Here is a 12482-nt window from a genome sequence, read left to right on the forward strand (position 1 = left end):
TCCACGACCTTTGCTCAGACCATTCCAAGATTATGAGTGATGAACTGAAATGAGCTAATGTACCTAAAGAATATGTATTTAAATACTTTCCTCCTAATGTATGTTCAATAATAATCAGTTCTGACATGAATTTTTGAAAGCAGAGTCCATGCTTGTCTCAGCATTCCTGGGTAGCTAGTACAACATCCCTGGCATAAGTGATCAGGTTACTTCTCCCACTCAGAAACTACCTTTCATCCTTCTCAAGAATGTGAAATGAAGTTCAACTTCAAGAACTGTAGGATCTGATCCAAATCTACCTTTTCAGCCTTCCTGTACATTATTTCCTCTCACAAAATTGAACTTCAATTATGTGGCCCCTCTGTCAGTCTCTCAGCACATAGTGCATTTCCATGAACATAAATCTTTCAGGACCGTCCCCTCGAATGTCTGCTCTCCCCATTCTCCATCAGTCAAAACACCAATTTGTCAAAGTCTACAAACTTTGAGACCTTCTGTGAGATTTTCTGTGATCCTCTGAACTAAATTTTCTCTTTATTTCTTTATTTTTTTATTTCAGTGGCTTTTGGGGTACAAGCAGTTTTTGACCACATAGATGAATTAATTTTATAGCAGTGAATTCTGAGATTTTAATGCATCCATCATCCGAGTAGGGCACGTTGTACCCAAAATGTAGTTTTCCAGTCCCACAGCTCCCCGACCCTCTCCCTCTCTGAGCTGAATTTAATCTATCTTATGAGCTAATAAAGTGTTTCTAGTCTCTTTAGCCAGTTAATGAGTTGTTTCGTTATGTTATTACATCCCTCAATAGACTGTAAGCTCGTTGAGAGGAAGAACACAGACATAGACAGTCAGACATCCTATGTTTGAATCCTGCTGAGCAACCTTGGGCAAACCTCCTAGCCCCTCTAAACTTCCTATTTGCCAAACAGTAATCTTTCTTATGTGGGCTTATAATCTACCAAGGCACATTAAACAAAGGTACTAGTGTACTATAACAACTTACTCAACTTTATGTTCTATTTAAAACCTAACAAATTACCTCACTTAATAAATATTTGATGAATGAAGGAAGAGACGAATAAACATAGCCCTGAGGCATTTTTCTAGCTTTGGGTGAGACATAGAGATCTAAATTATTATTTAGACATATAGTATTACACCAGACAAGTTCATTTTTTGAGCAGCCCTTTAAGCTTTATAAACTGTGGACTTAATTTAAGTTGCTTAGTTACAACATCCTGGAATGGTCAATGTAGATATTTTTCCCTTTTGAGTCTCACTATTTAGTTTGTTGGCTCCATTCCAGACTCATAATTGTATGTCACCTCCTTAACAGAGGATCTCCAAAATAGCAGCACCAAGATAAGTCTTTTTGTTGTGGTGGTGGTTTTGTTTTTACGATTTGTATCATTTGCTTAAAACTTACCCGGTTAGCAGCTAAAATTTTAGAATCCCACATACTGCATTCTCCTTGGTATAGTTTTTGCTTCCTGGTTTTTAGCTCCTCACTTAATTCCAGAGTTTAGGGAGACCTTTCGGTTTCCAGATATCTAAGACACTCAAAAATGTCTTTTCATTTAAAGAGTATGAGCATAATCTTCACTTAGAGAGCTTGAGCATGTTGGTTTTCAGTAGTAAGTATATTTTCTTACTTGCTGAGAATTTAGTAACTTTTCTAAATATTTGCAAAGTATGATACAGAAAGAAAGAAGAAACTTAGCTGGAATTTTGCTCTTACTTAAACACAGAGTATCCAAACTGTCAAACCCCAAGTTCAGTGATCTGTTTAACTTTTTCTCTCTCACTCCTGAGCCTGTGTCTCTTCTATTGTTGCATGCAGTATATAATTGGAAATAAAATGAATTAGATAGAGATAGTGTTTTTTGTCTCTTCTTGTGGCAAATTCCTTTGATAAACCAGACAATAGTGCCTGATGATTCAATAACAGATAGCAAGGATGTTAGTTCTAAGAATACCGTGTAAAAACCAATATTATCCACGTGCTGAGTTATTAAAACTCATATTTCTAATGTTGTTGGGCACTCTACCAAAAGAAAAGTTAGCATTTCTTACTAATTCATAGAGTATTATGGAAAGAGGAAAAAGGTCTATAAAAGAAGCCAATAAGTACATATATAATGACAGATAGAAAAAAATTGCAGCAACAGAATTCTTGCCAACTTCTAAACTCATTAGCATGACAGTGACATTCTCATTAAAAATAGCATAATCAGAAGCACTCTGAGGAACTGTGCCTTCTGATGTTTTACTGCAACAAAATCCTCCATTAAAAGCAATTGTGTACTCCCTTGTATCATATCTATAAAATAAATAACCTTTGAGTAAATGGAAATATTTTCAGAAAAACTTTTGTACAAATATACAAAGGTGTCATTCCAGTTTTTACAAGTCTTTAGACTGAATGACCTTGGGGATAGCTGTTTCTTCCATTTCTGGTTTCCATACTGGCAAATATGGTGGAAACAACACTGTGGCATACAGAAGAGGCTTATGCTGGAAATAATTCTCATTAATTGGTTGCTTATGTCTGATGTAATGTGAGAGCCTATTTTAGAGTTTGACTTAGTTTGTGCTGTTTCATTGTTTTCCTTCCCATTTTAGGCAATTGGCGTCCGATTGAATGAGCTGTGCCACGGGGAAAGTGAGAGCCCAGCCAACCTGCTGGGTCTCATTTACGATGAAGAGACCAAGAGGAGACTTAGAAAGGAGGATGAGGAGGAAGACTTTTTAGATGACAGTAAGGAGACTCCCTTTACTACAAGAACCCCTGCTTGTAAGAACCTCTGCTTTAGGAGCACTTAATACTTCTCTTTTCTCCTTCATATTCTTACCACCTCCCCATGTCTTTCCACTGCTCCTTCTCCCCTTTTCCCTGTGCATGGGTGTAAAGCATGTGCATAAAGCCACACAGAGACAAGGCAAGAACCAGAAAGAGAAGACAGAGAGGGGCAAGGAGCTGCAGGCAAGATGGAACATTTATTCTTTTCTTGTCTTTGACAAAACAAATATTGGTATTAGACTTCTCTGAGAAAATATCTCTGAGGCACTATAGTTGTGGAAAATTTACTGTCCTAGAAGAGATTTTGTCAGGTTTTGTGTTTTTTATATTGCTCCAGGAAACAAAATCAGACCAAATAAAATTGAATGTGAAATATTTTCCAAATCACTAAAATATTGAAAATTTTAAACAGAGTATATTATAGTATTTAACATGACACTTAAATATTAAAATATTCAGAGGTTGCTAGAACTGTGAATGTCTGCTGTACTGTACCTATTTATTAAATTTATAATAGAATTTCATCATAGAAAAGTAGAGACAAAAAGATTCCTATTACATCCTTCTTCAACATCATTTTGTGCATACGTGTGTTCTATACCATACAAGCTTTTGTGTATATGTACCACTGCCTTTTATGGAATACAAAATTCCAGTTATAGTTATGGAATTCGTATCTTTATATGATGAACATAGTGAGATCTCTTCCTCCTGACCTTCCCCTGTGGTTTGAAATTCAAGCTCCCTGACTACATGTTAAGAGTTGTCCTTCATTAGATGATTCAGACCTACTGCATTGTTGCAGTCATGAAATGTAAAAGAATGGATGGGGCGTAACATTAGGCAGGACTAAATAAGAATCAAAGAAAACTCTTATGATCTTCCTTTCCACGTTCCTTCCAAAGTTTTTTTTTTTTTGCATTTTTAAATCATGTTACCCCTTCTAAGACCTTATCAAATCAGAGCAAATCTTCTTGACGTAGCCATTGACAAAACACCAAATTATTATGTCAGTCTTTCAACCTAATAATGAAGGTTGGCCCCAAAGATATCTAAAGTAGCCTAGACTATCTTAGAATGAGGTTTATCCAACAATCACGGAACCTAGGGAAGGCCCACCATAAGACCCATCTAGCCAGAAGGCATTCTAAGCCATCCTGGAACTTCCAGGGGCCCTTCAGAACAGAGAGAAGTTGAAGCAACATTAAATGCGTGCATCCTCCTAGGCCAAAACAACTTGAATCTCCATTAGACTGCATAAGTGTCATTTACCAATATGTTCTGCCTAGAATATTAGTTTTTTGTTGAGACTAGGTAGAACTCAATCCTTGTTTATTATAACAGGATATTTAATATGATAGCCCTGAAAGAGCCTAGACTAAGACTAAGCTCATTGTCTGCAGGACTGGTAAGAAAAGCCTGGATGATAACCTTAGGAGTGAAACGGCAGACCCAAAAGTCTATACTGAATGTCTAGTGTTCAATTATTTTTTAAAAAGTGTTGCATATCCACACAATATTTAGTCAAATAGCCCCTATAAGACACATATAAGATTGATATGTCTGATTTTTAGTTCCACTTTCAAGTCAATACACAGCTCATCTTGCATTTAAAAGCTGATTATGGTGCAAGCAACTTTCGGGCTGGAAATTCTACAGAAGCTTGTCTTTTCCATTCTTGATGAGAGGCAAAGTCCCCGGCAACAAATTAACTCAGGAGAGAAAATGGTTTTCCTGAAAAAAACGATAGCTTAAATATCTACAGAAAGACCGTAATTTCCACCTATTTTCAAATGAAATCGTGAAGTATGTATTCTATTCAATTAAGAAAGCCTAACACCCAGGAAACATTTTAGAGATATTTTTAGGACTGTTCATATGTAATGATATTGTGATTGCTTGATGACTTGATTCATTTAAAATGGATAACCATTTCCTTTCTTTTATAAGAGAAAGAATTCTACATGGCTTTGATTTTTTCTGAACACGTAAATAATATATTTCTACATCATCCTGTGTCATCAGTTGTGATGACACATATCTGAGAACTAATTCTGAGAATTAAAAAAATCACTATGGTGTTACCATGGCCATTATCTGTCTTTAGAGCAAAATCTATTAGCTGGCTTCTAGTGGATACAATGCTTTATTAATTCAAAGGTCAATATTCTGCAGAGCAAAAGAGAATATTTGTACATTTCTAGTATAGCTATGCCTTAATTTGACAGGCTAGCTTGCACAAACTGTATGATATATGTGATCCAGTAAGTATGTCTTGTCTGTGTTGCAGAAACACATTTGGACTAGAGCTGAAACAACTTCACTGCCCTCAAAACAGCAAGACAGACATCCCTCATAAAATGAACTGACAGAATTTTTATAGCTCCAAATCTAGTTCACTGCCATATACATAGTCTAAATCTGATTGAATAGCAGCGTAGAAATCTTGCGAAATTACTTCCCATTTCTGTTTTCGTTAAAAGGTATTCTAGTCTAGTTGGAGCTGCATTTTGTTACTCTATGATGCTTTAAGGAAAATAATTTAGTTCTGCTTGTTCAATATTTTAATACTGAAGCACTCTGTAGAATTTGCAAAATGGAGGGAGAGAGATGCTTATGTTAGTGCATAAGTCATGCTAAAGGAATAGGTAAATTGAACTTACATAGATATAGATGAAGTCCTCATATGTAATTGGATGTTGGACATATATAGGTAACATTCTCATATGCAATTTGATTCTATACATGTGTAGCTATGTCCATCAAACTATGCATTTCTGTATTTTTTGTTGATTTGTCTCCTTATGAAAGAACACTTTCATTTCCTAGGTACTGTGAACCCCTCTAAATGCGGTTGCCCCTTTGCCTTGAAGATGGCAGCATGTCAGCTTCTTCTGGAGATTACCACCTTCCTGCGAGAGACCTTTTCTTGCCTGCCCAGACCTCGCACTGAGCCTCTGGTGGTAAGTTAAAGCATGCAAGTTAATAATCAGGTTACTCGGAGAGGCCAGGCGTGTGTCTGGGTTTCCAAGATTCACAGTTTTCTTAAATGTTCCATGGCTAGTGTATCACATAATTTTAAAAATTCAACCAAGGGATTTTGAAACATAAAAAGAAATGCTCTTTTCCTCATTACAAATAATAATAACTCCAAAGTCAATCTAGAAATCAGTGAAGGTTTTCCTACTGGATACAATGTTTATTTGATCACTATCAATTATGCTGGGAATATCTAGGAGCCTTTAGCTTCCTTTACTCTGAAAATATGAGGAGTTTTATGGCTAATGTTTTCCAGAACTCACCAACAAATTTTTTTATACCAACTGCTCATAAATCTGTATAGAAATTTGCTTCTTAATGAGTGTTCTCTTTCAAATTATGGTTGAAAGTACTCCAGTATTTAGTGTCTAAAATCCCCAAACGTACATTGTTATTTCTGTAGCATTTCCTAGAGATTATGGATAGACAGAAATAAGACCATGCATGTGTGCATGCACACACACACACACACACACACACATGCGTGCATGCATATACACTCCTGTGTGGTATACCATGAAGGCCTGATTTGTTTAACCAATGATATAAATATAAATACTATGCAAGAACCAGGCATGTTCACAGAGTGTGTGGCACGGGGCACACCTTGGAGTCAATTTTCCTTCACTCCTAGTTCTCTAATGGGCACCAAGTTTCCAGTGGTTCTTTCATCACAGGCATCATCCAGCTGGAGCTGAGGAACCAGACTATCTCCCAGAGCAATCGTTACATAAACAATCTATGTGTTTCCATTTAAGCAAATTTTACAATCCACAATCCACCACCTCTCCTTCTTTTTTTTTTTTTTTTTTTTGAGACGGAGTCTTGCTCTGTTGCCCAGGCTGGAGAGCAATGGCGCGATCTCTGCTCACTGCAAGCTCTGCCTTCCCAGTTCACACCATTCTCCTGCCACAGCCTCCCGAGTAGCTGGGACTACAGGCGCGTGCCACCATGCCTGGCTAATTTTTTGTATTTTCAGTAGAGACGGGGTTTCACCATGTTAGCCGGGATGGTCTCGATCTCCTGACCTCATGATCTGCCTGCCTTGGCCTCCCAAAGTGCTAGGATTAAGGTGTGAGCCACCGCGCCTGGCCACGTTTCCTCCTTTTTAAACCAAACTCGGCATGAGCAAGGCCGTGTCCCAAGCAAGGCCAGGCGGTGTGGGGAGAGGAGTGAAAGAATGGGGGTTCCGGTGTCACTGCATGACACCTCTGCCTCTGGTTTTCCGGAGTTCTAGGAAGACCATTCATTGCTTCACACTCTAGAACAGAAAGTGGATATTTTCAAGTTAGAAATATTTATGAGTAAACTGTCTGCTCTCAAGAGAAACACCCACATTTGGACTGTGACACTACCATTTGGATATTGAAAAGAGAAGTTTCTTCTACTGCCCTTATGTAATTTCATAATAACCTGAATCTTTAATTTTCTGAATTGTCACTTTCACTATTATATTGAGACTACTCTGTAAAATCAAATCAAGGCCACCACTCAGCACTTCTATAGGCCTCTATCAGTATTATCCCTATCAGCATTCTAATGATGTTGAAGTCTTCATAAAAGCACAAAGTACATCTACTTTTAAGTTTTCAGATTGTTATTGGTCACCATTTTGATCCACTGTAATAAAAAAAATAAGAATCCTAAAGTTTGACTAGGTTATTTTTGTTTTCCCTATCAATTCTATAAAACTAGAGTTTAATGGTCCTTATTATTGTAACAAATTTATTTTTAAAAGATCAATCAAATCTTCTAAATTTGATTAATATAATTTGACTAACCTACAGTTAGTTAGCAAGAGGAAAATTTTTACTTTATGTCACCTTTAATTGGGCCTCTGAAATCTTTTATTCATTACACTAGGATTTTCATTGTTAATGTGTACGTTTGTGTATTGTGTCGAGATGTGGCCTTTATAACATAAAGAGGGAAAGGACCTTTTTCTCACATTTCAGCTATCTAACCCTAGTTGGTAGTAAAGAAAACTCAAGCCACATTCTAACTTATTGAAATGTTTTACCAACACAGAAATTCTTACAATTGTTTTCTATTTTTAAATTGTGGTAAGAGCACCTACCATTGGATTTCTCCTCTTGATGAATTTTTAAGTGTATAATATGTTATTGTTGACTGTAGCTATAATGTTGAACAGCACATCTATGGAGCATCTTCCTTGACTGAAATTTTATGCCTTTCTATTAAGTAATTCCCCCATTTTGCCCTCCCACCAAGTCCCTGGCAACCACCATTCCACTCTTTTTTTTTTTTTTTTTTTTTTGAGATGGAGTCTTGCTCTGTTGCCCAGGCTGGAGTGCAGTGGTATAATCTCGGCTCACTGCAAGCTCTGCCTCCCAGGTTCACACCATTCTCCTGCCTCAGCCTCCCAAGTAGCTGGGACTACAGACGCCCACCACCATGCCCAGCTAATTTTTTTTATTTTTTTTAGTAGAGATGGGGTTTCACCATGTTAGCCAAGATGGTCTTGATTTCCTGACCTCATGATCCGCCTGCCTTGGCCTCCCAAAGTGCTGGGATTACAGGCGTGAGCCACAGCATCTGGCCCCCACTCTTTGATTCTATAAATTTGACTATTTTACGTACTTACTCATATAAGTGGAATCATGCAGTATTTGTCTTTCTGTGACTGTGTTATTTCACTTAGGATAATGTCTTCAGAGTTCATCCATGTTGTCACATATGTCAGAATTTCCTTCTTTTTTAAGGCTATATGGTTTTTTAAGAAATGGCACTGAACAGTAAATCCACAGAGTAAGCATAAATACAGCCAAAATGACATTTTTTCACCAGATAGATCCTTAAATGTAACTTAATTAGTGTGCTTCCCCCCCTCCCCCACAAAGAAACAACTTCTGGTAGCATTTTGTAAACCGTGCAATTAAATTATGTCTAAAGAAAGGGAAGGGCAGCATTTTTATAAGATTTATAGTCTAAAACAGCATAAGCAAATTTTTTCTAAATATTATCTTCTAAACTTGAGAACAACAAAGGAATATTTTTTAAACAAAATTTTGTTTATAAAACTGCTGGTCTACTAAAATGTTTCCCAGTTGAATTAGTGAGACCAATCGATGATGACTAAGCAACATGTAATGAAAACAGTAATTCCCATCAAATGCATAGATGAGTCTATAATAATAAAGAGGAAGGTGGTAAGGAGGTCTCTGTATGTCTACATTCGTTTGTTACAGAAAACAGCATATTGGGTCCTTTTGTGCAATATTGTGCTAGAGGCTGTACCAACCATGCCAACGGAATTTAACAAATCAGGTTATAAAAAAATATACTGCTGAAACTTGCTTAGCCATATGCAGAAAATTGAAATAGGACCCTTTCCTTACACCTTATACAAAAATTAACTCAAGATGGGTTAAAGACAAATGATTTTATCATAAAGATACATACATGTGTATGTTCATTGCAACACTATTCACAGTAGCAAAGACATGGAATCAACCCAAATACCCATCAATAATAGACTGGATAAAGAAAATGTTGTACATATACACCATGGAATACTATGCAGCCATAAAAAGGAATGAGATTATCTCCTTTGCAGGGACATGGATGGATCTGGAAGCTATTATCCTCAGCAAACTAACGAAGGAACAGAAAACCAAACACCGCATGTTCTCACTTATAAGTGGGAGCTGAACAATGAGAACACATGGAAACAGGGAGGGGAACAACACACACTGGGGTCTGGTGGTGTGGGGGTGGGGGTTGGGAGAGCATCGGGATAAATAGCTAATGCATGCAGGGCTCAATACTTCAGTGAGGGGTTGACAGGTGCAGCAGACCACCATGGCACACGTTTGCCTATGTAACAAACCTGCACGCCCTGCACATGTATCCTGAAACTTAAAATTAAATTAAATTAATTCTTTTTAAAAAAAGAAAAAAAAAACACTGGATTTCAAAGGTTTCTAAAGTTAAAAAAATCAGAAGCAAAATACAATTCATAGCTACCAAGACAAAACTAATGAATATTTATTGAGAATAAAGTATGAGCAAGGTGGTGTGATGGTTGCAGGGGTGGGGATGAAGGTGATACAGAAATAACTATACTGTAACAGGAGAACCAACATACAAAAAATTACTTTCTGAAGCAAAATGTAAGAGGGTCCCTGAGAAAGTAGCAGAGAGCCACGGCTAGCCAAAGAAGGGGCTGAACAGCTCTGATGAACCTTCTTGGAAGAGGGCACATTTGAATATAGCTTTGAAAGACTACGTAGGATTTGGACAAGCAGATAAAAGAAGAAATTGGAAGGGAGAACTACTTTTGTGAATCAGAATTATTATATGATTGCTTCTTATCCCAACTAAGAAATTTCCCTCATTAGATTTGGCTACCACAGTGGAAGGTAGATTAGGTTATTTTTTTTTCTCAAAGGGATTAATTTCAGGGAAGCACTTACATTTATAGAATATTCTTGATGATGGTAAAATAGATTCCATGTAGTTCCTATATTTTTCTGGGTGTGATATAATTTTCTGAGTCAAAATGTAACTTCTGTTCTTAAGCCAAAAGGACAAGAAACAAAATGTAGAGTCTAAAATGTTAACTTTTTTTTTTTTTTTTTTGAGATGGAGTTTCACTCTTGTTGCCCAGGCTGGAGTGCAGTGGTGTGATCTTGGCTCACTGCAACCTCCACCTTCCAGTTTTAAGTGATTCTCCTGATTCTCCTGCCTCAACCTCCTGCATAGCTGGGACTACAGGCACCTGCCATCACGCCCACCTAATTTTTGTATTTTTAGTAGGGACGGGGTTTCACCATATTGGCCAGGCTGGTCTCAAACTCCTGGCCTCGTGATCGGCCTGCCTTGGCCTCTCAAACTGCTGGGATTACAGGTGTGAGCCACTGTGCCCAGCCTAAAATTTTATCTTATTGATGAGAATCAAAAGCATAAGATTTTAATCTTGGTGCAAACTTTTTAAAAATCTTTTAAAAAATTACAAAATATTTTTATTTTTTATATTTATTTGAATCTAAGGGTTTATTATGTCATAATTAGAAAAATACAGTATAAAAATAAAATTAGAATTTTATATATATTTTTAGGTACTCCAAAAGTGCTTTATAAGTTAATAATTACATATGATCTTGACCAGGCACAGTGGCTCATGGCTGCAATCCCAACACTTTGGGAGGCTGAGGTGGGAGGATCACTTGAGGTCCAGAGTTTGAGACTAGCCTGGACAACATAGCAAGACCCCATATCTACAAAAAAATTAAAAAATTAGAAAATTAAAAATAAAAAAGAATAAATATGATCTCTAGGATAAACAAATCTCTATTCACAGGACAAGTCAAATTCTCAATTTGGGGCCTCAGAGACCAAACTTCTATTAAGTAATTACTTTCCTCGAGGCTTACTTTATTATATGAGATCATTGTGTTCAGCCTCAGATGGTGATGGAACTCCTGTCATACTTATATCCTCTTAGAAGGGAGTAAGAAATTCCCCCAATGTGTGATACTGCTTTGAGCCTCTGGCCTTCATGCATGAGGTTTCTTAAGGCTGAACTGCCTTTCCCCACTTGTTTGCCAAACTATCTTTACTTAATCCTCAAGACTTAACTCAAACATCAACTCTTTATTCATTTTATATTTCTGCTGTGACAAACTACCAGAAATTTAGCTGTTTATAGCAGCACAAACATGTCACAGTTCTGGAGGACAGAAATCCAAGGCAGGTATTGCTGGGCTAAAATCAAGGCATTGGCAAGGCTGCATCCATTCCTAGGGCTCTAGGGAAGAATCTGTTTCCTCACCCTTTATTCATCATCTAGAGGCCACCCACATTTCTTGGCTTATAGCCCTTTCCTTCGTCTTTTTATTATTATTATTTTTTATTTATTTTTTGACAGAGTTTCCCTCTTGTTGCCCAGGCTGGAGTGCAATGGTGCAATCTCAGCTCACCACAACCTCCATCTCCCAGGTTCAAGCAATTCTCCTGCCTCAGCCTCCTGAGTAGCTAGGATTACAGGCATGCGCCACCTCGCCCGGCTAATTTTGTATTTTTAGTATAGACGGGGTTTTTTCTCGATGTTGGTCAGGCTGGTCTCAAACTGCCGACTTCAGGTGTTCTGCCCGCCTCAGCCTCCCAAAGTGCTGGGATTACAGGTGTGAGCCACCGAGCCCGGCCCCTCCATCTTTATAGCTAGAAACATCGCATCTCTCTCATCTTTCTTTCATAGCCACAGCTTCCTCTGACTACAGCCTGGAAAGGCTCTCCACTTTTAAGGATTTGTGATTGGGCCCATTTAGCTAGCCCAGAATAATCTCCCAATCTTAAGGTCCTTAGCCTTAATCACATCTACAAAATCCTTGTTGCCATGTAAGGCAACATATTCACAGGTCCCAGGGATTAGGGCATCTTTGTGGGGCTGTTATTCTGTCGAGCACAGTTCCGAGTCTGATTTCCGAGCTCCTACTCTCAGTCTTAAAATTTATCACTTGTTTGCCTTCTCAGTTTCTATCTTGGGATTCTGAACTCCTTTAGAGATTAAAAAAAGTTCCTTATTTATCCTTCAGTACCTAACACATCCATGCTTGATGCATGATTTTTAAATAAGAGATAAAGGCCAAAGATGCAGCCAAAACTGTGGACAAAGAGT

At 37.6% G+C, this 12482-nt stretch overlaps 1 protein-coding gene across 3 annotated transcripts in view; it reads left to right on the top strand.

The window, feature by feature from the left end:
* The window catches only part of UNC80 (unc-80 subunit of NALCN channel complex), a 227465-nt gene that overhangs the window by 103497 nt on the left and 111486 nt on the right, over window positions 1-12482 (top strand). For all 3 annotated transcript variants that reach the window (NM_032504.2, NM_001371986.1, NM_182587.4), the window contains exons 24-25: window positions 2626-2761; window positions 5633-5766. In NM_032504.2, the coding sequence (NP_115893.1) occupies window positions 2626-2761; window positions 5633-5766 (270 nt within the window). The remainder of the gene's footprint in view (window positions 1-2625; window positions 2762-5632; window positions 5767-12482) is intronic.

The sequence above is a fragment of the Homo sapiens genome, chromosome 2 (genome assembly GCF_000001405.40).
Source record: "Homo sapiens chromosome 2, GRCh38.p14 Primary Assembly".
Lineage (NCBI taxonomy): Eukaryota > Metazoa > Chordata > Mammalia > Primates > Hominidae > Homo > Homo sapiens.